Source organism: Homo sapiens, chromosome 3 (assembly GCF_000001405.40).
Source record: "Homo sapiens chromosome 3, GRCh38.p14 Primary Assembly".
Taxonomy (NCBI): Eukaryota; Metazoa; Chordata; class Mammalia; order Primates; family Hominidae; genus Homo; species Homo sapiens.
In genome coordinates, this window is record NC_000003.12 from 67,238,944 (window position 1) to 67,265,653 (window position 26,710).

The window sequence follows — 26,710 nt, forward strand, 5'->3', positions numbered from 1 at the left end:
GGGAACGTCAGCTAATGTGAAAAAAACCAGAGTGGATGTCTTTCGTTGCCCCTCCTCATCCATTCTCCATCCTTCTGTACTGTGCTCCCTGCCCTGAGTTGGCCAGCATGGGTTCTCTTGCCCCTCCAGGTTCCAGTGTGAGATCAGGGAAGTTATTTCCTTCAAGCAGTACCCCTTAACGAAATGGACATGAAGCCTCCCTTTCACCCAGTCTCTTTGTCTTTAAGTCCCCATAAATGCTTCTTCTTCTTGCTCCTTCAGGCCAGTGGATGATCACTGCTCCCTCCTATTAATAAACCTTGGGAAACTGGATATTTCTGTGGTTTCTCCACAGTACTTCCACACCTTTGCCCTCTGTTTCCCGGACTCTGACTAATGCACCAACTACACATTAGGAAAGTGAATTCAGCTCCAAGCAAGGCAAGAACATTTCTGGAAATAGTACATTATGCTTTGTTTTGGCTCACATATGGGACTTGAAAAAAACAAGGGGTATTTTTCTCTAGGCCCAGCACACACAGGTTATAAGGCTTTGTTTGCCAAATCTGGGCTTTCTTGCTTTCAGAGTTCATTAAGCCTGAGTTTGTTTTTCAGGAGTGAAAACAGCTGTTACCTACCAACCTAGAAACAGTAGCTTTGTTTGGGAGTAGATGCTCAGGGAGGTAAGCTGGTGCTGGGGGTAGTGACGGGTTTGAGGGAGCCTGGGAAGTCACCCGCACTCCTTAGACCAATACTTCATCTAAGGTAGCAATGAATGTCAAAGGCCTAAAACATCTGGCCATAGGGATTTTGGATCCTTGTCAAATAGTTCCCACTCCAACTTGATTGCAGAAATATCTGAGCTGCCTTCTGTTTTTTTTGTTTTTTTTTTGTTTTTGTTGTTGTTGTTGTTTTTGAGATGGAGTCTCGCTCTGTTGCCCAGACTGGAGCACAGTGGAACCATCTCAGCTCACTACAACCTCCACCTCCCGGGGTTCAAGCAGTTCTTCTGCCTCAGCCTCCCAAATTGCTGGGATTACAGGTGCCTGCCACCATGCCTGACTAATTTTTGTATTTGTAATGGAGATTGAGTTTCACCATGTTGGCAGGCTGGTCTTGAAATCCTGACCTCAGGTGATCTGCCTGCCTTGGCCTCCCAAATTGCTGGAATTACAGGCATGAACCACCATACCAAAGACGGCAGAGCTGCCGTCTTTGAATGCAGAGAGGGGTTTGAACAATGAATTCTACAGCAGTGACCACGATGTGCTGACAACCAGAGGTCTTTCTAGTTAGCATTGTGGGGGTCGTGTAAATGTCCCAGGAGTTCTCTATAATCCCAAAGGACAGTAGAGGGGCCCCCCTGATCCATAACTGGATATTCCAGGCTTCACCCCAGTGGTTCTGATTTTGTGTGACTTAAGTTGGGCCCCTACATTGCATTTTTAGCATGCACCTCAGCAATGCTGATGCAAGTAGTCCCTTAAGCACAGAGAGGCAGATACTGTAATTGTCCCCATTTTACAAAGAAGAAAATAGAGCCTCTGAGAGCCTAACCTTCTCCAGTTCCAAGTGTTTGGAAGGTCTAGGCCAATATTGGTTGAGTGAGGAAAACTGAACAAATTGTCCTTTCTTTTGTGTAGAGTACAATTCATGCCCACATAAGAAGCACAATTCTTATTTTATTCTGGGGAATCCTGCCAAAATTCAAATGTTTGCAAAATTCCAAGAACTGAGTGGTCTTCTACTTCTTCTTTTGTAATCAAGTAAGCAGAAACAGTGTAGCCAGTGAAAAGCTCACCACAAATGTTTATTAGATAAGACTGGTCTGGGGCACGTCATCTATGAAGGTGCTGAGCAAATCCAAGAAATGTTTCCTATCATACTCTTAAGCACCAAGCTTGGAAAATCAAGCAAAACAACCAACTCAGCTGCTCACAAAGTCAGCAAAAAATGTTTATATAATTAATCTTCATTATGGCAGTTCAGTCACAACATTAGTGGCAAATATACCCACAGAATAAATGCAAATTGTAGGTGCAAATCAATTTATGCATTCAGCAGCAATTCCACTTGCCCCCCACATACACACTTAATAGCTCGTTGAAACGTAGAAATCATTACTGGTCTTCAGAAAGATGCAAGTTTGCAAACCAGGATCCGAAATTAAACAATGATGACAAAATAGCAATATCAAAACCATAGGCATCAGGAGACACCTGAAGAAGAACTAGGAGTGAATATTTCGGCATGCCCTGGGGAGATGGAAGCACAGGCTTCGCTGCTTATTTTCTCTTTTTACTCTTTCTGTTGCTAAGTCTCCTAACCATCAAACCCTGGTGGTGGTGGGAGGATTTTAGAGGAGCTCCCAGATAAAGAATGCGGCCAGACTTGCTTCCATTCCAAATTACTTGGAAATTGATTCTCTTTCTCCTCTGAAATGTCTCCTCAGGTGTCCCAGAGATTTCCTTTCTTGTGCTCTGGGGACAAAACAAAAACCAAAACAAAAACATTTAAAAAGTGACTGGAAATACAAAGACCTGAGAGTCAGGTGAAATGTCTCAGAAAGTTGTAATTAAGAGAGTGCCCTCTACATGAACCTGTGTAATGTAGATACTTTCTCCCTTTATTCACTTTTCAGTTCTCTTTGTCTTTTTGGTTGCTCTCAGATGAAGGTATCAAGGTGCCTCTATTTGGCAAATTGGTTACCTTAATTGTTTTCTCTGTTTCTTAAAAGTCAACAGGTATTGATTTGGTTCAGTCTTCTCATTCTTCCATGTCCCCATCTGAACATAATTTTCATTTTTCTCACGATGCCTATGTTTAAGTGTAATTATTGTAGTAACAGTCTCATTAAGTGACATGTTTGGAGGAGAAGGGCTCTGGTTAATTGAGTCCTAAAGAAGAGAAGATAGCTTTAATTTTTCAATTCTCATTGTTGAAAATATTTATGCTTTTCATCTGTCTTTTCTTCATTCATTTCACTCTCATTTCTACCAACAGAAAAAAAAACAAATCAGTATCATTACACAAATATCCAAATTAATATAGAAAGAAATCAATATAAGGAATCATGGCTGCAAAGGGGGTAGGAACAGCACCAGGTTTCACATGTGTGCAATCATGACTCTTATTTGGCACCAAGTTTAGCTCTGAGATCCCTGGCAGGCAAAGCAAAACAAGAAATAGATCCCATGTTTTAATCAAAAGAAGCAAAGTAGTTCACAAGGAAAGACAAACTTTCTTTTTGGTGGGAAGGAGGGTGGAGGAAAGGGACATGAAAATCTAATTACAGTGACTTAAAGGAAAAGGGTCATGTGACTCTTCATTTGTGGCATTGGACCAATCTAGTGTCACATCATTGGACACTGTCATGTCGGCAGAAGGAATTTTTTCCCCTTTTCTTGCCCACACCTCCACACAGGCATTTTACTTGATTTTGTTAATGTTTTACCACCACAGATCTAACCCATGATGAGATCGTTTGGTTATAAGATGACAAAAGGCAAATTAATAGAATTATGGTTCTACTCCCACCCTCCATTAGTTCTACCTTTTAAAAATGTGTTGTACAAACATTTAGGCTAGTTTGGCAGAGCACCCCTGAAATCAATCCCTAAGCATGTTCCAAAGATCACCTAGGTATCCCAGAATTAATTGGAGACCCAAATATGAGTTACCAATGATAGCACCATACTAGTGTAAGGAGCTCCAGGACAAGAGTTTACGTTTTCTAGGTAACATTAAGTGCCTGACGTTTGATCTCTCTGAATTTTTGATTCTGCATGGCTCTAAAGGAGATCATAAATTATACTAAATGAGGATCAATCAGTTCTTTTCAACTGAAATCTAGATTTCAGTTTCATTGTCCCCATAACTATCAAACTGTCATAGAAATTGAGTATGTCAACATCTAGAGTTATCTTTTGCATGTGAAAGAAGCATAATGATTCTTACTCAGATTATATGTGCTGATTTTCAGTTTATAACCTGATGATTGTATGTACATCCCATGTAAGTGCTCTTCATCCTCCTGTAATACTAGCTAGGAGCTTTATCACTCTTAGAAAGTACTTATCTTATTTGCTTTTCTTACACTTCACCTGCTCTAATGCCTTTAATTTTTAACTTGTGTATTTAATCCAGTTTATTTAAAGTGATTTAAGCTGTATGTCTTGGGAAAGGGAGACCTCAGCTATTCTAAATGAACAGTTTTAACATTCTAATTTGGAATCACAGGAAAACCAAATCTATTTGGTAGAAAAGGTACAAGATCCGACATCAAGAAACTCATGTTTGATTCCTGTCCCTCCTCTTTACTGTCCATTTGTAAAACACACTCCAAATTTCTTAGCCTTTCTTTCCTAATCTGTAATATGAGCGTAACAATAATAATTCCTCCTTTTTAAGATTGATTTGAAGATTAAGTTTGCATATTTGAGAAAAATCTGTCAACTGTAAAATTACATTCACTTCTTATTTATTGCTATTATTAGGCCCAAGTTTTTTTTCTGATTATGAACACAGAAAGCCACAAGAATAACAGGAAACTTCATGGTGACAAGAATTCTATTAAGCACTTTAAATATATGGATTCATTTGAACCTCACAGCAACCCTAATGCAGAATTATTCTTCTCATTTTTCAAATGAAAAGCCTGAGGCAGAGAAAGGATAATAAACTTGTCCAACGTCACATAGTCAGTAAATGGCATAGCTGAGATTCAAACCCAAGTGCTAAGTGCACAGGCTCTTGTCACTATACTGTATGTCCTCAGCACACAGCTATAGTAAGTATTAGGAATATTAATAAATGTAACACACACATGCACAAAGGATTCCATCATCAAACAAGGTTAGGAAACACTAGATTCAACCAAGTTAACTAGGCGTCTTGACTGCAGGACTCCTCAGACCCTTTAACAAATGAGGGATGGTGTTCAGCAAATTCCAAGACCAAACTGAAACCAAATTGTTTCTTCATGAGCATCTCAAAGGACTTGGGTTCCAGGGAATACATTTTGGCAAGTGCTCATACATAAGTCGTGACAGATAAGTAGCAATGACATGCCAATTAAGGGCTCATTAAACAATCTTTTGAGGTATGGGAGAGAAATATAAAAGTATACCCTAATGTTATTTATACATGATCTCCATTTTATATACTACCTACCTACCCAAATTAAAAAAGGGGTATTGCAATCCTCTTTTTAAAAATGCACGTATAAATGTTGCTTTTGTTTTGACGAAAATGTAAGAGACATAGTTTTTTTCCTCTCTCCAGGATGGTTCTCTGAGGCTGACATTTGGAGAAGAAAGATGTGCAAGGAGGAACTAAAGCTTCACATGCCTTGTTGCTGTAAGATACTATAGATCATGCTGGGTCAGGGCTGAGAGAGCTCTGGGGAACTAGTCTCTGCAAGTGATTAATAACAGCAAGGTGACCCACTGACCCTTCTCAGGCACTTCTCTACCTGGGCATCTAGAATTACCTCCAGGACATATGGAGAGTGGGGGAAGGAGACTGGTTCCAAATAACTATTAAGTCTATGATCACTTTAATAGACTTAATAGAGACCCCAAGGTGGTAAATGAATCCTTGCTTATTGAATTCCTCACTTTCTGCTACTAGCACCATCACTACCCCCCCAGCACCACCCACCCCCATACACACACACACACTTTTCTCCTAATCAGGGGGAATCACAGTCTAGCTGTTTCTAGCTTAACATGGAGACTAAAATAGCTTAAAGGTATGAGTCTGGCCAGCTTCATTTGAGCATTACCAAAGGAAAAGGTTGTGATGAATGGCATATTTGATCCACTCTTTAGAAACGCCATATTGGATGTTTCCCACCAAGCCATCAGCACTAGCCTGATAACATCACTTACCTCCATCTCATAATATTTACTTACCCTGTGTATTCGTGGTATATCCACAATTATGTTGGGATATTGCTACTGGAGTGAAGCTAGAATTCTAAAAGTCTATACATTCCTATGAAGTGGATGGTGAGAACATCTTTATGTGCATTTAGGTCACATGATGTCATTCCTATGAATGATGCAGGTAATCTAAGGGCAGATTTTGCTGTTATCCTCATTTCTTCCTTCAAGCTTCTTAGCAATCCAGGTGCCTCTTGCCTTGGAATTAACACCACTTCACTCTGCCTCTCCTTTTCTACCCAAACACAGTTTCCTAATCTTCCTTTTTTATTCATAACAATTTTAAGAATAGTAAAGATATAGATGGAGTCCAAGATCTCAAAACAAACACTTCCCATTCGGAATCAAAACTGATTAAAAATCTGCTTCTCCCTGCACAGATTCTCCTCCTAGGGATGTGGAGTGGCATTCCTGAATGGAATCAATGAATCATTTCCTTCCAGTACCTTATAAGAGATCAATGGCATCTGTAATATAACACTTGTGCCTCATTGCTATTGAGTTTACTCAGGGAGAATACCATGAGACTGAGTAAGGTTTGCACGAGTATTCTGAACCCACGGTTTCTTGACCCTGTTGACAAATCTATTAGGTGCATCACTTCACAGGTTGAGATACAAACTGATTCCAATGTTGAAACAAAATCTTCAATCTTACAGAAGGATTACTGACACAGCATGGAGAGGAAGTAAGAGAATTAGACTGGAATGGACATTTTTAGTTAGTTCCGGTATCAGCTGAGTCCTCTGGGAAGTAGATGCAAAGACTGAGTCAGCAATGTAGAAGATGCATTGTAAAGTAAAACGTGTGAAAGGAAGAGGGGGAAAGTAGAATTGGGTAGGGAGAGCCTTCAGACAATACACAGATCTGGTGGTTCAGTTGGGTACTGCAGAGTACAGATTGCCCTTTAGGGGTGTCCCGCATTGGGCAGAAAGCCCTTGTACCACTGTGCTGCTCAGTTTTTGGTCAGTGCCACCCCAGAAAAAGCACAACTTTGGCTCAAAAGCTAGAGTTGACTGGAAGGAGATAATAGCTGGGGGCTATCAGCTATCCATACTTCTCATTGCCAAGCAAGGACACCTTTCTTAAATGGAGATTTGCATGTATGTGTCTGCCAGGACTCAACATACCTTTCATCTATTCCTCATAGCGGAGGAGACATACAATTTGAGAAGGTCCCTTAATTACAGTCTCAACACTGGAACTCTCATTGATGCCATTGGCTATAAATATGAGCAGAGATACACAACAGACCAAAAGCACATTAAATATGGCCACAAAAGGGATTAGTGGTCTCTTACACTTACGAATAGAATCTTTCAGAACTGAACCTGTTTGTAAGTTGAGGGTGTTTCTAGATATAGCCTGTGGATTCAGACAACCTATTAATTCCTTTTAAATCAATAACATTTTAGGGTAAGTCGACTGAAAAGGTAACTGTCACTTTGGAAAACCAAGATCAGGAAATGGGATACATGACAGATAAGTTATATTGATGAAGAAAAGAGGCTCCAGGCAGAAATTGACAAACACAGTCATAATGAATTTTTTAACTCTTAAGTTCATGGGTACATGTGCAACTTTGTTATGTAGGTAAATTTGTGTCATAGGGCTTGTTATACAGATTGTTTTGTCACCCAGGTATTAAGCCTAGTATCCATTAGTTATTTTTCCTGATCCTCTCCCTCCACCCACCCTCCATCCTCTGATAGGCCCCAGTGTGTGTTGTTTCTCTCTCTTTGTCATGTATTCTCACTTAGCTCCCACTTGTAAGTGATAACATGTGGTATTTGGTTTTCTGTTCCCGTGTTCATTTGCTAAGGATAATGGCCTCCAGCTCTATCCATGTCCCCGCAAAGGATATGATCTTGTTTCCTTATATGGCTGCATAGTATTCCATGGTATATATGTACCACATTTTCTTTATACAGTCTACCATTGATGGGTATTTAGGTGGATTCTATGTCTTTGCTATTGTGAATAGTGCTGCAGTGAACATACATGTGCTATGTCTTTATGATAGAACAATTTATATTCCTTCAGGTATATACCCAATAATGGGATTGCTCATCCGAGTGGTAGTTTGATTATATCTCTTTTAGTCACTAGTAAATCAAGCAGACAAAATTATTAAAAATATATAAAAGCTTTGAACATAATTAAAAGTTTAATCTAGCTTGATTCTTTAAATAGATACTAGCCTTACAACAACAGCCTTCAAAAGTGAAGACCTAAATAACTAGAAATGTAGACACCTGGGAGTTGTTCACCTTTCTCTGTCTGCTCTCTGTGGTTTATATAAACACATCTGTTCTGTCCCCGTAGGCCTGCTGCAGCCATAGCATGCATGCGACTTGTGGTCCACATGCCAGATACTCTTATCTCCATGCCCCATAAATGTACATTCACACCAGTCCTTGAGCAGCTGTGACTGTGCCTGTTATCACAGCTCTGTGTGCCTAGGCCAGTGGCACATGCAACTAGATTCACAAGATATAGGTCACTTGATATTCATGGATTGGACACTTGCAGGTCTGATTACTCATGAGTGCACCAAACATCTATGGCATGTAGCTATATGCAATTTTTCTGAATTCTGGAGTTCTGAGGGTCTGACCCAGGTGAACTAGTTAGTCACTGAGCCTGTAAGCAAACTTCACAGATTGTCCAGGATTCATCTGTCCACTGGCTTAATTTTCTACTCAACAGAGCTTATCATCTCTTTCTCTTTAGGAACTTAGGGGGCTGACTACATTTTTTAATCACACATTACTGCATTTTATTGGAGAATTTTTTATGTTCTGGGAGTGCTTCAAATTTGGATATTTTCAATAGAATGTTGGCAATTATTATTTTTTGTAAAAGTTTTATATAATGAATGTATGTAGAACCCTGCATTTCATATACAGAAAATGACTTGTTTTTAAACATTCATGGATCTTTTATTAAAATGGACCATATTTTAGCTTACAAATTACAGAAAATAAAATTTTAAAAACCACAAAGAATTAGTATTCCTCAGATCGCCTGCTCTTAATAATTAAAATAGTTATCGATAACAAATACTTAGCTTAAAAATCCCCCCCTACAAATTAGTAAGGAGGGTTAAATGAGGGAGATATTTAAAAGATGGGGGCAGACTTAGGGAAACCTCAAGGAATAGTGTAGTTCTCCAAGGTGAGTAAGAGTGGAGCAATTACTATCCCAAAGCCTGAAGAGGAAAGATGCAAAAAGGTAGCCAAAGCTTAGAAGAAAGAAGTACTGTGAGGAGACCACTTGGAAAAGAGAAGAGACCTTAGGTTGAGAGTACAGCCATCCTGAGGCCCCAAAGAGACAGCAACGTTTGACTCTATTCCTAGTATATTTACAGCCACTTCAACTACAAAGTCACAGTACACCATGGAAAACACCAACCCTTTAGTAGGCTGGAAAGGAGTATGTCTATTTATTGTCTTTATAAGAGACCAGAGCAGACAATGAAAAGGTATTAAGTATTCTCTTTTTTTTTCTTTTCAGCAGAAAGAGAAGCCCCTTCAGCCTTCTTGAGAGAAAGACACGAACAGTCCAAGAGAATAGTGCCTATATCAAAAGAGTCACTACAGTTCTCTTGACCAGCTGATCTGGAGCAGGCAGTTGGCCTTTGGGTTTAGGAGGAATGCTTTGCTTCAGGTTCTTGCCCACTGGGATTGGATAGTCCAAAGTATGATATGAACACTTTTTATTTTTACCTTGGAAAAAAATACTCTCCAGGCCTTTCCTATAGTACCAACTAAGACTCAAGCTACACATCAGACTATCACCTTCATTTTCAAACCTTTGAATACATCCAGGTTTGATTCAACCCTGACTTTTAGGGCAATAGTTACTTATATAGGTCACTCAGATGCCTGTATTAACCTTCCACCAGGAAGGTGCTTTAAAATCACACTAAACATCTGTAACAAGTCATCTCCAAACATCGTTACAACACCACTGCCTCCATTCCACGTGGTCACCATGGTCATCAATTTTACCCAGCAACTACAAAGGCAGACCCTCATTATTCCTGGGGTATGGCAGCTTGAAACTCTCAGTGCTAGTTCATTTGCATAAGTGCTTAGCAGCAAAAAATCTTGACTCCTGGCACCAGAAGTAAATTATTCTTGGAGTACTATACTTAGATGCTTTGAGTTTAATTACCTTGTAATTTCCAGGTCATGTTATTACCATGAAGCTACATGATTTTGCAAATTTATTTACAGCCTATGAAAAGAAAACGACTTCGGAAATGAATGTTGCTAAATTGGTCCCTTGTAAATAGTTCTTTTGTTGTTTAGAAAACATTTAAAAGCTTTTCTACTAGAAAATGTGGGCCAGTCAAATGCCAATTCTCTAAAAGTTTACAATAAGAATCTTATCTTGAGTTAGAGATGTGAGGTCCCTCCAAGTGGAGTCAGGGGGGTCTTCAAGGTGATCAGGCAGGCAGGTAGCATTTAGAAAGAAAATCATGAAGGTAAAGGGGTCAGAGATAATAAGAATGGTCATATCAGATCCAGGAGTTCTGTCAAAGTCTGAAATATTGGTAATACTTTGGATCCAAAGATCAAGAGTTCATAAATTATTAATATTGTTCAATGAAACTTTACAAAACTCGAGGATGACCTGAATATTGCACCTGTTAGACCTCATTTTATTTTGGCCACAGAATATTTATATAACACTTAAAAATGAGGCACTACTGGTTTCTAGGGGGAGTTGAGACTGTTTCCTTCCTTTCTCATCCCTAACCTGATTCTTACCTCTCTAGGATCAATAGCAAGTAAATTGGACTCCCATAAAGAGAAGAATTGCTGAAATTTAAGGACGTTGATGGTCAGGACTTTCAGAGGGGATCAAGGTCATGTCATATGTGGGCACGGCCTATCTTTGCTTTCTTCCTTGCTCCTCCAGGGAATGGCAAGAGCCTAAGGCTGTTCCAGAAGGGCCTAACATTATTCTTTCTCTCTAGAGATGCTGTCTTTCCTTCCTGTAAGGTAGCTTGGGAAGAGAACCCAGGACAGCTTGTTCTAGCTCTGTTGTCCCATTGTTGGTAGACATTGGACATCCCTTGTTTCCTGGTGATGGAACCAGGGCCTTAGGCTTGAGCACTGTAGGAAGTTGAGGGACAGTCAGAGCCATCTTCCCAACCTGCTTTATCTGAAGCTGATTTAGCCTAACTGGCTTTGGAGAAAGGAAGCTTCAGCTGGGTCAAGCTATCATTTGACAACTCTGATGTTTAGGTTTAATGTTTAGGTTTGATGTTTAGGTTCAGGTTTGATGTTTAGGTTCAACCAAAATGACATCTAGTTATCTAGTCACCAGTGATTGTTCCTAGGAATGTATCTCTCACAAGGACCTCATAGGGAAAATGGATGACTGGCCCAATGCAGAATTTATATGTTCCTTTGTTATGAGAACAACAGGTAATAGCTCAGGCTTATCCCAATGTCCAACAGCCACACAATGAGGTCCATTGTGTAGGTGACGGTCAATTCCTACGTAAATATGGCTTGTTTTTCCTTTAGCCTCCATTCTTTCTCTTGGGACTGCTTCTTGTTTCCTTTGCCTCTAACACTGGCTTTGTCCTTCTTCATTTACTCCTCCAGCAGTGTGTACCCTACTTTTCCTACCCGCCGCTACCTCCTGGCTATTCCATATTTATTTTCTCTTTATCACTCCCTACCTTTCAGCCTCTACACCACTGCTAACCACCATCCAAGTTTCTTTCCTCCCAAAAAATAACAGTGGAGCACTCAAATAGAACATTTTACTGCTCACTTGAGAGCTCAGAGAAAGGATGTGCTAATCTGTGTATAGAATGAGCTAACCATCAACCAACATTGACTATTTTCTGATTGAAACAATTAAAAGGGAGTTCCCAGTCACAAACGCTAGCATTTTCCAATTTTCAATGACCTTTTAATAGTAAAAATGCTATTTTTAAAATGTCATTATGTGCTAAAAATGTTCTTGAATGTTTTTCAAAAATGACATTACAGAATCCAAATGTTGCCACATAATTATTCAAAATAAATATTTTGCATACATTGCTCTATTTACTTTATATCCCATGAACAACACACATCAGTATACATATTAAATGCTGGAACCAAAAAGGCATGACATATTCAGTAGCTTAATGTTTTATTAAAGTAAAACCAGCTGGTGGAGATTTGGTAACTGAAGCTATAGCCCAACTTGCTAAAACGTCTGTATGGTTGCACTGCACTGGAGGAAAAAAAGCCAGCATGTGAATTTAGGCTATGAGCAACAGTTACCTAACTCCTGTTACCCTTCAGGCTACAAATTTATTCTGGGGGCTAAGTTTTATACATGGTTCCTTATAGACTTTGCAATTTCTGCACTTCTAAAAACCGATTTCTAATAAAAATAAGATTCTGATCTGCTAAAGAAATACGTAAATTCATTGAATCTCTAATTTTGTAGCAGTTGTTGTTACTAAGGACCTCATATAGGGATGCCAAAGACAAATCTGAATATAGAATAATAGAAATGATGATGAGACTGTCCCTAAGGGACCGAGGAGGTAGCATCCAAGCAGCAAGAAAAGCTCTCAATATGGTGAATGTAATACTGTCTCTTCCTTCAAGTTGAGCCCCTTTTCAAGAGAGATAGGCATCTGATCATTACATTATATAAATGAAATATGTTTATATAAGGTACTATGGAATTACAGAGGAGAAGCAACTAACTTTGTGTATAGTTGGACAGTAGACATGAGATGATGTTCATGGTTAATAAATGGCATTGAAGAGGAGAAGCAACTAACTTTGTGTATAGTTGGACAGTAGATATGAGATGATATTCATGGTTAATAAATGGCATTGAAGAAGAGGTGGTATTTAGACTGAGTCTTGAAATATGGATTGGAGGCTGCCAGGTGAAGAGCAGAGACAAGTGCATCATGTACAAAACAAAGGGATTGGAGAGAGTATGTACAAAGTGTTAAGATACTACACTTTAAAAGTCTTTAAACTTTGCTGATTCCTGGTCCCATCTGAAGAGTTTGTCCTATTCGCAGACGCTGGGTGGGGCTATACTTCTTACCTACTACCTGCTCAACTATTACTGATTGGGTCAAAGATGAATATCTGACTCAATCCATTCGTTGTTAAGTAACCAATCATATTGTCTCTAGAGAATCTGAAGTAACAGACCAGAGGTACTTAAGCTAAAAAGTTGAGATAAGGGCAGCCATATTACATGTGGTCATGGCTATATTAGGACATGTGCAGGGCCAAAAGGCAGAGAAAACTGGGCCCAGAGATAAATAGGAAATGAACAGGCTCACCAAAAAAAACGTGGCAGTAAAAGAAACCACATAATATGGTTTGTCTCTGTGTCCCCACCCAAATCTCATCTCAAATAGTGATTCCCATGTGTCGAGAAGGGGATCTGGTGGGAGGTGATTGGATCATTGAGGTGGTTTCCCCCATATTGGTCTCATGATAGTGAGTTCTCATGAGATCTGATGTTTTTGTTTTTCTTTTTCTTTTGGATGGAGTCTTGCTCTGTTGCCCAGGCTGGAGTGCAGTGGTGTGATCTCCACTCACTGCAAGCTCTGCTGCCTCCCGGAGTCATGCCATTCTCCTGCCTCAGCCTCCCAAGTAGCTGGGACTACAGGCGCCTGCCACCACACCCGGCTAATTTATTTTGTATTTTTAGTAGAGAGGGGGTTTCAACGTCTTAGCCAGGATGGTCTTGATCTCCTGAACTCATGATCCGCCTACCTTGGCCTCCCAAAGTGCTGGGATTACAGGAGTGAGCCACCGCACCTGGCCTGAGATCTGGATCTGATGGTTTAAAAGTGTTTGGCAGTTCATCCACTGCTGTCTCTCTCTCTCTCCTGCTCCGCCATGGTAAGACGTGCCTTGTTTCCCCTTCACCATCCACCATGATTGCAAGTTTCCTAAAGCCTCCCCAGCCATGTGGAACTGTGAGTCAATTAAACCCCTTTTCTTTATAAATTACCCAGTCTCAGGTAGTTCTTTATAGGAGTGTGAAAATGGGTTAATACAGAAAATTGCTGCCAAGAGAAGTGGGGCATTGCTGTAGAGAGACCTGAAAATGTGGAAGCAACTTTGGAAGTGGATAATGGGCAGAAGTTGGAACAATTTGGAGGACTCAGAAGAAAACAGGAAGATGTGAGAAAGTTTGTAACTTCTTAGAGACTTGCAGAATGGTTTTGACCAAAATGCTGATCGTGCCAGGCTGAAATGGTCTGAGATGGAGATGAGGAACTTATTGGGAACTGGAGCAAAGGTCACTCTTGCTATGCTTTAGCAAAAAGACTGGCAGCATTTTGGCCCTGCTCTAAAGATCTGTGGAACTTTGAACTTGAGAGAGATGACTTAGGGTATCTGGCAGAAGAAATTTCCAAGCAGCAAACCATTCAATATGTGACCTGGCTTTTTCTGCATTCACAAAGAGATGATCTGAAATTGGAACTTATGCTTGAAAGGGAAGCAGAACATAAAAGTTTGAAAAATTTGTAGCCTGACCATACAGTCGAAAAGAAAAACCCATTTTCTGGGGAGAAATTCAAGCCAGCTGCTGAAATTTGCATTAAGTAATGAGGAGCTGAATGTTAATAGCCGAGAAAATCAGGAAAATGTCTCCAGGGCATTTCAGAGTTCACTGCAGCCCCTCCCATCATAGATCCAGAGGCCTGGGAGGAAAAAATGGTTTCATGGGCTGAGGTACTGCTGTCCTGTGCAGCCTTGGGACAGAGACCAACTCCAGCCATGGCTAAAAGGGACCAACATATAGCTCAGGCTGTTGCTTCAGAGGGTGCAAGGCCCAAGCATTGCCAGCTTCCATGTGTTGTAGGGTCTGTGGGTACACAGAAGGCAATAGCTGAACTTTGGGAGCCTCCACCTAGATTTCAGAGAATGTATGGAAATGCCTGGATGTAGAGGCATAAGTCTGCTGCAGGGGTGAAGCCCTCATGGAGAACCTCTACTTAGGGCAATGCAGAGGGGAAATGTGGGGTTGAAGCCCCCACACAGAGGCCCCACTGGGGCACTGCCTAGTGGAGCTGTGAGAAGAGGGCCACCATCCTCCAGACCCCAGAATGGTAGAGCCACCAATGACTTGCACTCTGTACCTGGAAAAGTTGCAGGCACTCAATGCCAGCTTGTGAAGCAACTATGGGGGCTGTACCCTCAGATCTACAGGGGCAGAGCTGCCCAATGCCTTGGGAGCCCACCCCTTGCATCAGTGTGCCATGGATAGGAGACATGGAGTCAAAGGAGTTTATTTTGGAGCTTTAAGATTTAATGACTGCCCTGAAGGGTTTTGGACTTCCATGGGACTTCTAGCCCCTTTGCTTTGGCCAATTTCTTCTTTTTGAAAAGGAAGCATTTACCCAATGACTGTACCCCCATTGTATCTAGGAAGTAACTAACTTGCTTTTGATTTTACAGGCTCATAGGGGGAAGGAACTTGCCTTTTCTCAGATGAGACTTTGGAATTGGACTTCTGGGTTAATGCTGGAATGAGTTAAGATTTTGGGGGATTGCTGAGAAGGCATGATTGTGTTTTGAAATGTGAGAAGAACATGAGATTTGGGAGGGACCTGGGGTGGGATGATGTAGTTTGGCTCTGTGTTCCCACCAAAATTTCATCACAAATTGTAATCACCACATGTTGAGGGAGGGACCAGGTGGCAGGTAATAGGACCATGGGGACAGTTTCCTCCATGCTGTTCTCATGATAGTGAGTGAGTTCTCAAGAGATATGATGGTTTATTGTCTCAGTCCCAAAACTTAAGGTGATAAGCAACTTCAACAAAGTCTCAGGATACAAAATTGGTGTACACAAATCACAACCAGTCCTATACACCAACAATAGACAAGCAGAGAGCCAAATCATGAGTGAACTCCCATTCACAATTGCTACAAAGGAAATAAAATACTCAGCAATACAACTTACAAGGGATGTGAAGAACCTCTTCAAGCAGAACTATAAACCACTGCTCAAGGAAATAAAGAGGACACAAACAAATGGAAAAACATTCCATGCTCATGGATAAGAAGAATCAATATTGTGAAAATGGCCATACTGCCCAAGGTAATTTATAGATTCAATGCCATCCCCATCAAGCTACCAATGACTTTCTTCACAGAATTGGAAAAATCCACTTTAAAGTTCATATGGAGCCAAAAAAGAGCCCTCATTGCCAAGACAATCCTAAGCCAAAAGAACAAAGCTGGAGGCATCATGCTACCTGACTTCAAACTATACTACAAGGCTACAGTAACCAAAACAGCATGGTACTGGTACCAAAACAGAGATGTAGGTCAATGGAACAGAACATAGCCCTCAGAAATAACACCACACATTTACAACCATCTGATCTTTGACAAACCAGACAAAAATAAGCAATGGGGAAATAATTGTCTATTTAATAGATGGTGCTGGGTGAACTAGCTAGCCATATGCAGAAGACTGAAACTGGACCCCTTTCTTACACCTTATACAAAAATTAACTCAAGATGGATTAGAGACTTAAATGTAAAACCCAAAACCATAAAAACTCTAGAAGAAAACCTACACAATACCATTCAGGACATAGGCATGGACAAAGACTTCATGACTAAAACACCAAAAGCAATTGCAACAAAAGCCAAAATAGACAAATGGGGACTAATCAAACTAAAGAGCCTCAGCACAGCAAAATAAACTATCATCAGAGTGATCAGGCAACATACAGAATGTGAGAAAATTTTTGCAAGCTACCCATCTGACAAAGGTCTAACATCCAGAATCTACAAGGAACTTAAACAAATTTACAAGAAAAAACAACCGCATCAAAAAGTGGGCAAAGGATATGAACAGACACTTCTCAAAAGAAGACATTTATGCACCCAATAAATGTACAAAAAAAAAAAACTCATCATCACTGGTCATTAGAGAAATGCAAATCAAAACCACAATGAGATACCATCTTATGTGTTAGAATGGCAATCATTAAAAAGTCAGGAAACAACAGACACTGGAGAGGATGTGCAGAAATAGGAATGCTTTTACACTGTTGGTGGGAGAGTAAATTAGTTCAACCATTGTAAGACGGTGTGGTAATGCTTCAAGTATCTAGAACAAGAAATACCATTTGACCCAGCAATCCCATTACTGGGTATATACCCAAAGGATTATAAATTATTCTACTATAAAGAGACATGCACACATATGTTTATTGCAGCACTATTTACAATAGCAAAGACTTGGAACCAACCCAAATGCCCATCAATAATAGACTGGATAAAGAAAATGCGACACATATACACCATGGAATACTATGCAGCAATAAAAAATAATTAGTTCATATCCTTTGCAGGGACATGGATGAAGCTGGACGCCATCATTCTCAGCAAACTACCACAGGAACAGAAAACCAAACACTGCATGTTCTGACTCATAAGTGAGAGAACACATGGACACACGGAGGGGAACATCACACACCAGGGTCTGTCAGGGGGTGGGGGCAAGGAGAGGGAGAGCATTAGGACAAATACTTAATGCATGCAGGGCTTAAAACCTAGATCATGGGTTGATAGGTGCAGGAAACCACCATGGCACATGTATACGTATGTAACAAACTCGTACTTTCTGCACATGTATCCCAGAACTTAAAGTAAAATTTTTTTAAAAAAAGAAAAATCCTTAAGTAAAACTGCTATGCTCTTTTTTGTGGGGGAAGAAAAGAGATCTGATGGTTTTAAAGTGTGTGGAAGTTTCCCCTTCTCTCTCTCTCTCCCACCATGTAAGACGTGCCTTGCTTCCCCTTTGCCTTCTACCATGATTGTAAGTTCCTGAGGTCTCCCCAGCCATGTGGAATTGTGGGTAAATTAAACCTCTTTTCTTTATTATCCAGTCTCAGGTAGTTCTTTATAGCAGTATGAAAACAGACTAATACACCACCTGTAATTTGTTTCCTGACTTTTAATGTCATAATAGTCAAAATACACTAGGCTATATTACAGCAGGAGATGGTAAACTGTGGCCTTTCAGATTATCAAGTGCAGTTTTAAACTAAGATTTGTTTATACAGTTTTAAGAGCCATAGCAAAGGAGGAGCAGGAGGTGGAGGAGGTGTAGAAGGACGAGGAGGATATCAGACCCCTATATGGCCTTCAAAGCCCTTTTGAGAAAAAGTTTAGCAACCCCTGCACTATAGTAACCACTAATGCCAATGTCAAAGTGGTTTTCTTCTATGTTTTCTTTTAGGAGTTTTTTGGTTTCATGTCTTACATTTAAGTCTGTAGTCTATTTTGAAGTAATTTTTGTGTATGGTATAAAAGAAGGGTCCAATTTCATTTTTTTTTGCATGGAAATATTGAATTATCCCAACATAATTTATTGAAGAGTCTGTCTGATCTCTATTGTGTATTTTTGGCACCTTTGTCAAAAATTAGTTGACTGTATATGTTTGAGTTTATTTCTGAGTTTACTATTCTGTCCCAATTGTCTGTGTGTCTGTTTTATGCCAGCACCATACTGTTTTAAATACTACAGCTTTGGAATATAGCTTGAAATCAGGAAGTGTGATACCTCCACCTTTGTTCTTCTTAATCAATATTGCTTTAGCTACTGGAGTTTTTGATAGTTCCAAATGAGTTTGAGAGTGTTTTTCTATTTCTGTGAAAAATGCCATTGGAATTTGATACCAAAAGACAGGTAACAAAAGTAAAATTAAACAAGTAGGACTACATCAAACTGAAAAGTTTCTGCACAGCAAAGGAAAGAACCAACAAAATAAAAAAACAACCTATAAAATGGGAGAAAATATTTGTCAACTATATATCTGGTAAGGGGTTAAAATAAAATATATATAAGTAACTAATACAACTCAATATCAATTATAATAATAAACTGATTAAAAAATGGGAAAAGGACCTGAATAGACATTTTTTTCAAAAGAAGACATACAAATGGCCAACAGGTATATGAAAAGATACTCAACATCACTAATCATCAGGGAAATGCAAATCAAAACCACAATGGGATATTACCTCATACCTGTTAGGATGGCTATTAAAAAAAGTCAGAAGTGTTAGTGAGGATGTAGAGAAAAGGGAATCTGTATACTGTTGGTGGAAATGTAAATTGATATAGTCATTATGGAAAACAGTATGGAGCTTCCTCAAAAAATTAAAAATAGAACTACTATATGATCCAGCAATCTCAGTTCTAGGTATATTCAAAGGAAATAAAATCATTATTTTGAAGAGATACCTGCACTGTCATGTTCATTGCAGCATTACTCATAATAGCCAAGATATGGGATCAACCTAAGTGTCTATTGGAAGATGATTGGATAAAGAAAATGTAAGAGAGATGTGTGTGTGTGTGTGTGTGTGTGTGTGTGTGTGTTTGCATGTATGTATGTGTGTGTGTGTGTATTGGAATATTATTACATATTTTTAAAAGCTTTTAAAAAGAAGAAAATCTTGCCATTTGCAATAACATGGATGAGCCTGAAGGACATTCGGCTAAGTGAAATAAGCCAGACACAGAAAGACAAATACTGCATGATCTCACTTATATGTGAAATATGTGAAATCTGAAACAACACTGACCTCAGTAACAGAGTATAGAACAGGCTGAGGGATGGGGAAGAAAGGGAGGATACCGGTCAAAGGGCACAAATATTTAGTTATAAGATAGGACACCTAATATAAAGCATGGTGACTATAGTTAATAATCATGTATTGTATACGTGGAATCTGCTAAGAGAGTAGATCTCAAGTGTTCACACCACACACACACACACACACACACACACACACATACACACACACCACACAGTAACAGTGAGATGATGGGTAAGTTAACTTGATTGTGGTAACCATTTTTCTATGTAGACACATATCAAAACATCGTGTTGTATACCCTAAATATATGCAATTTGTATGTGTCAATTATACCTCAATAAAACTGGGGGGTGGGGAACTAACCCCAAATCTCAGAAGCTTGCAGCTTGTAAGAAAAAAGGTTTACTTCTCATGTATGCCACCTGCTATGTCCCTACCCAAATCTCACCTTGAATTGTAATAATCCCCACATGTCATGGGAGGGGCCAGGTGGAGATAATAGAATCATGGGAGTGGTTTCTCCCATACTGTCCTTGTGGTAGTAAATAAGTCTCATGAGATCTGAAGGTTGTATAAATGGGAGTTCCCCTGCACAAGCTCTCGCTTGCCTGCTGCCGTGTAAAACATGCCTTTGCTACGTCTTCACCTTCTGCCATGATTGTGAGGCCTCCCCAGCCATGTGGAAGTGTGAGTCCATTAAACCTCTTTTTCTTTATAAATTACCCAGTCTCAGGTATGTCTTTATTAGGAACGTGAGAACAGACTAATACACCACCTACCATCTTGGGTCTTTACTCCAAGTCTTCTTAGTCTGGAAAGGAGGCTGATAGAGTAGTCACAATGCTGAACACTGTCACACATTGTGGCAGAGGAAAAGGGCTCCAGAGAGTCTTGCATTAGCAATTTAATGCTCCAGCTTGGAAGCTACCATCAAAACTCACTGGCTGGAAATAGTCACTCAGCCCTACCAAAAAAAGAGAAGTACAGTCCCACTATGTACTAGGAAGGCAAAGAACCAGAAATACTTGACAAATAGCACTAACAACTAAAACAGGTCTCTGAGAATTTTTTGTTATATCCACACCTGAACAAATTGAAATAAGATTCTTTTCTTTAGAATTACAAAAAAGCTTAAGTATAGAAAAATTGCTGGAGAGGGACTTCAAAATTAGACTGGAGTCAGATTATGAAGAGTCTTGTATGTTTTGCTAAAGAGTTTATGATTTTTTCTGTGTTCAATGGAAAGTCTTAATGGACTTAATTCAATAGAAAAAGGGACCACTATAGTTCTTAGCCAAGGGATCACTTGATTAGATCGGTATTTTAGAAATGTCACTCTAGCTACCATATGGAAATACTGGATGATTTATTGAATGAGCGAACATGTTGAAATGGGAGGCCAATTAGGAAGTTACTGCAGTGAACAAGGCACGAGTAGATGTGGATTTGAAATAATGCAGTGTTCATGGGAATGAGCAAGACAAACTAGATTGAAAGAAAATAACCTAAGAAGTAGAATTTACAGGACTTGGAGGAAGCCTGAGATTTACAGCTTGGACAGCTAAGTGGGTGTTAAGACTAATCATTTTGTTAGGAATGTAGAGGAGACAATAGTACATAGGCCTTGTCCATCATGCATGGTCTCTGAAAATTCTGAGATTAACTTTTGACCTAATACCCTGCCTACATTTCTTGCTTCTTGGATCAGTAAGGAATAAACTTCAAGTCCTCTTCTCTGTTCAAATTGTGATCCTCCAGAAATTTAAGTGCCAAGTGGATAGCATTCCCAGATTTTCACTATACAAGATGCCATTTTGAAATGAGTTGTGGCACATGATGGGGTCTATATCTGATTTATTTCTTCAGTCCATACTGACTACTAGGGCCTCAGGGTTTTGTCATAAAATTGGGCATGTGAAAATGGAAGTTCAGGTTGCCACAGTTTAGTTCAGATCTTCTCTCTGGAATAAATTGGAGACGGAATTTAATGTTTGACATTAGTTATTTAAATAAATTAATATATATGAAACTGATAGAAACATGGATTTTTTTAACAGATTGAACACAATTCTTTTGGTAATGCTAAAGATACAAATTATGGCAGACAGAGGACAAAATTAGAGGAGATCTCAGATGCTTGTGCAGAGATGGATGGAAATCCATTAGTCTACCATTACTGAAGCAATTTTCACAGTGCATTAAACCATGTACTACTAATGAAAGTCAAAATATTGAATGTATCCTTTAATGTCACTGTACATGTATGTATTATAATGTAATATTAATAAACCACATATTGTATATATTCTTCTGTGTTTCTAGACTTTGTGGTCCCTGTTTGTAAGCTATAATAATTGCAATGTCACTCAGATGTCATTTTCCTTTAACATCTGTGTGGATCATGTTCAAGGATGGTCATTCTAGGATCCATTTCTTATCTCTGTTCATAGAAAGTGAAATTCCAAAAACCATAATTCCCAGCCTCCTTTGCAAACTAGTGGCTAACCAGGTTCAACCAATGGGAGGTGATGTTGGAAAAGTGGAGGGCAGAAAGAAAGGAGCAGCCAGGATATTACTGTTCCTCTCTCTCCCTTTCAGATAGCATCTTGTCTGCAGCTGCATTCCCTGCATGTTCCCAGCTCCTACTGGATATACACTTCCTCTGTGTTCCTCATTTTCTCTGGACAGCCTCTCCTTTAGCTCCAGTTCCCACTGAGTAGCTACACTCCCAGGATTCCAGCTTTTGCCTGACAGTCCAAGATACATGGTCCCTGGGCCAGCTCCTCCTCCCAGGTTTCATCTCCCTCCAAGCATCCCTAACTCCTGGGCACTGATAATGTGCCTGTTCTCTTGGTCCCCCCAGTTCTAGCAGTAATAGCACCCTGTTACCATTGTTAAACTCTGAGGTGGCTTACCTTTCCCTATTCACTCTCAGCTCCTCCAACACCTCTGTGACTAGATCCCCATATTAAACCCCATTTACAGTGGTACCTTGGAAAGGATCCTCTATATAGTCCAGAAAGCGGGACTGTAGTCTGCAAGATGGCTTCAAGGGGATATTGAAATCTATAAGGATGAATCAGTGGCACAGACACTAAGGGACAAGATTCTGCAGTCAGGCTGTGGTGGGGAAGAAAGTACGACTCTAAGAGGATTTTTGCTGAATGGATATTTCAGAAGAAAGATGAGACAAAGCTCTGAATGGGCTCTTTTATCTCCTCCTGCCCCATCCCCTTCTCCAGCTTTCAATATGAACATTCTCAGAGCACTGTCTCAAGGAAAAATGGACAACCCATTAACACTCCTATTCTCCATATCCTTACACCAAACATGCCCTAAGAGAAAACTTGGCTGCTTCCTCTGAGAATAAAATTGAAAAAAAGAGATATTAATATATTAATAAATTACTGAGAGCTAAATCAGTGTTTAAACAACATACTTTAAAAGCAATCTTTTGATGCCTCGTGTAGGATGGAAAAATGAGCTTATCTAACTTCAGTTAAATTGCCTGACTCTAGCATATGTCTGATTTTTTTTGGACAGGAGACAACAACACCTTTTACTAAATTCAATGGACTTAGAACACTCAGGCAACAATAATTCAGAACATGGACAAAACAGTAGAGTCTAGAAGTAAACTTGTAGGCTTATGAATCCAACAGGACTGGGTTTGAATCCCAGCTATTCTGCCTACTAGCTTTGTGACTTTGCTGGGTGACCTAACCTAAATCTCTATGCCTCAGTTTTCCGAGCTTTAAAATGAGGATAATAGCATCTACCTCTTTGGATAGTTATGAGGATTTAAAGAGATACCTTTTGTAAAGTATTATTAGAATACTCTTCTCTGTTCTCAGGAAGAGCTAAGAAAGTAAAGAGCTGAAGAAACTTGAAGGCTTAGCATTAGTGACTCTTAACCACTCAAATGAGTAAGAATTACTGGAGGAGTTTGTTAAGAATGTGGGATATTATGCTCTGCTCCCTGAAATTCTGATTCAAGAGGTCTGGAGGTGTATCCTTAAAATGTGCATTTTTAATACATTTATACCCAGGATTTGAATGCATGTAGAACAAAGATCCCATTATGAGAAACACTTTCATTTGTTACTTCATTCTTTATCTATTTGCAAAATTTCCTTTAAATCCACTATTTCCTTTACCTTCATGATTTATCTAAATTCTAATGTTTTCTCAGTGCATCATCTGCACTCTGCCAACTCTGGCAACCTGGACATGGGTAGTGGTTAAGCCACTTACTGACCAGATAGCTTTGAATAAGTCTCTTCATCGCTTGAAACCTTAGTTTTGTCATCTAGAGTGAGATAATAATATTTGTCCTATACACCTCTTGGGTTACTAAAAGCATCAATGGAGGAAAAGGGTATAAAAGCATTTTTAAACTACAAGGCACTATACCAATGTGAGTTATTATTATATGGGGCCTGTTTGATTACAATCTCAACTGAGGTATAAAATGGAAGGGTTTTATTTTTCCTTACCTGATGGTATCTGTGTGGTGTTGTCAAAGCTCATCTTTATCACTATAGAGCAAGCTCTTTTAATATATCTCATTTCAATCCCATGACTTTTCAGTCATTATTGGTTATTAAACCAGTCTTATTTTGGTCAAGTCTTAGTTTTGCCCATCTTCAATTTCACACTCAGCCCAAACAGGTTTTTCTTCTCCCTTACTCTGCACAGACTAGATTTATGGAACCAGCAGCACAGAGGGAAGGGGGTATGTGTGCCAACACCTCATCTTCTATCCCAAACCCTGCTCTTGCTCCTCTTCCTTCAACAGGGAGGGAGGAAAAAGTAATGTGTTCTATGTCCTTAGATCACAGCACCATGATGCACTGGCTGTTCTCTTTATGGGTGGTAATGGCCACTTCCTTGTGTGAACTACCCTGTGTAACATTGACTATGTGGCTCTTTTATTTTTCTTTGTCATGAAAGTTGATAGCTCATGGTCTACAGTTGTAGGCTTTTGCAGACCCCCGAAAAGACAAACCAGGTGAGAAGCTCCATCCCAACCAGCTTCCCTAGTATCAATTACTTCTCAACGGATTTGCTCCCATGTTCCTGCTGGTAGCACTGAGCCACATCACCTTGACTCCAGCCCATTTGCTTCATACCTAGATGGGTCTCACACAAACCTGAGGCCCTAACTCTTATCATTTCTCTCCACCCCAGTTCTCGTGCCCTATTGATATAGGAGGTAGAAATGAATTATTTAGGCAGATAGTGAGGGCAAAAGTGTCCTCAGTGGATTTTTTCCTTCTAACCAAAAGCAGCCCCCCAAATTATTACTTTTCTGACTGAACAGCCTGAAAAATTCAGCTGCAAACATAAATAAGGAAGCAAGATGCTTGCATGGGGGAATGCTGGAAGAAGCGCCAATAGAAAAGGGCTGTCTGGGGCCAGGCATGTCCAACATGGAGGCTTGGTCTTCCCTTTTTTTGTTACCACGTGTACAGTAATAGATACATGGGCATCATGACACAGCTCAGACAGAGAACCTGCCTGCATAATAAAAGACTGGGGTAGGGGCAGCCAGAGATTCCTGCCCTATGCAAACACACCTGGTCCAACCAGTTTTTCGCACCCTATGTAAATCAGGCACTGCCTCCCCATCAGCTCATCTATAAAATGCCCTGCATTTCACCATGGGTCCAGCAACTCATTTCTCCAGGACCCCTCTCTGCAGTAGAGAGCTATTATCTTTCTTTAAACCACTCTTAACCTCACTCTTTTTGTGTCCGTGTCCTTGTTCTCCATGGCCATGAGACAGTGAATCTCCGGTGCTTGTCCAGACAACGAAGCTGTTTCACTATGGGCATAGATTGGATCCATTTTAGGGTCATACCATCAATCTATTCAGCAATGCCTTTTCCCCCACATTGGGAACTCAAAGGTAGGCAGTGAGTCTGACTGCTCAGTGAACAAGCAAGTGGTGAAGGATGATGCTCATCTTTCCTCCTTGAAAAACCACTAAGCTTTCTTTTCTTTTCTTTTCTTTTCTTATTATTATTATACTTTAAGTTTTAGGGTACATGTGCACAATGTGCAGGTTAGTTACATATGTATACATGTGCCATGCTGGTGTGCTGCACCCATTAACTCGTCATTTAGCATTAGGTGTATCTCCTAATGCTATCCCTCCCCCTTCCCCCCACCCCACAACAGTCCCTAGAGTGTGATGTTCCCCTTCCTGTGTCCATGTGTTCTCATTGTTCAATTCCCACCTACGAGTGAGAATATGCGGTGTTTGGTTTTTTGTTCTTGCGATAGTTTACTGAGAATGATGATTTCCAATTTCATCCATGTCCCTACAAAGGACATGAACTCATCATTTTTTATGGCTGCATAGTATTCCATGGTGTATATGTGCTACATTTTCTTAATCCAGTCTATCATTGTTGGACATTTGGGTTGGTTCCAAGTCTTTGCTATTGTGAATAGTGCCACAATAAACATACGTGTGCATGTGTCTTTATAGCAGCATGATTTATAGTCCTTTGGGTATATACCCAGTAATGGGATGGCTGGGTCAAATGGTATTTCTAGTTCTAGATCCCTGAGGAATCGCCACACTGACTTCCACAAGGGTTGAACTAGTTTACAGTCCCACCAACAGTGTCAAAGTGTTCCTATTTCTCCACATCCTCTCCAGCACCTGTTGTTTCCTGACTTTTTAATGATTGCCATTCTAACTGGTGTGAGATGGTATCTCATTGTGGTTTTGAGTTGCATTTCTCTGATGGCCAGTGATGATGAGCATTTTTTCATGTGTCTTTTGGCTGCATAAATGTCTTCTTTTGAGAAGTGTCTGTTCATGTCCTTCGCCCACTTTTTGATGGGGTTGTTTGTTTTTTTCTTGTAAATTTGTTTGAGTTCATTGTAGATTCTGGATATTAGCCCTTTGTCAGATGAGTAGGCTGTGAAAATTTTCTCCCATTCTGTAGGTTGCCTGTTCACTCTGATGGTAGTTTCTTTTGCTGTGCAGAAGCTCTTTAGTTTAATGAGATCCCATTTGTCAATTTTGGCTTTTGTTGCCAGTGCTTTTGGTGTTTTAGACATGAAGTCCTTGCCCATGCCTATGTCCTGAATGGTAATGCCTAGGTTTTTTTCTAGGGTTTTTATGGTTTTAGGTCT

At 39.9% G+C, this 26,710-nt stretch overlaps 1 long non-coding RNA gene across 1 annotated transcript; it reads right to left on the bottom strand.

Moving 5' to 3' along the window:
- Window positions 1,764-25,569, bottom strand: LOC112267879 (uncharacterized). Its single transcript, XR_002959676.2, has 2 exons — window positions 20,338-25,569; window positions 1,764-2,876 (listed from the first exon to the last, which is right to left on the bottom strand). It is a non-coding gene; the product is annotated as an uncharacterized LOC112267879 (long non-coding RNA).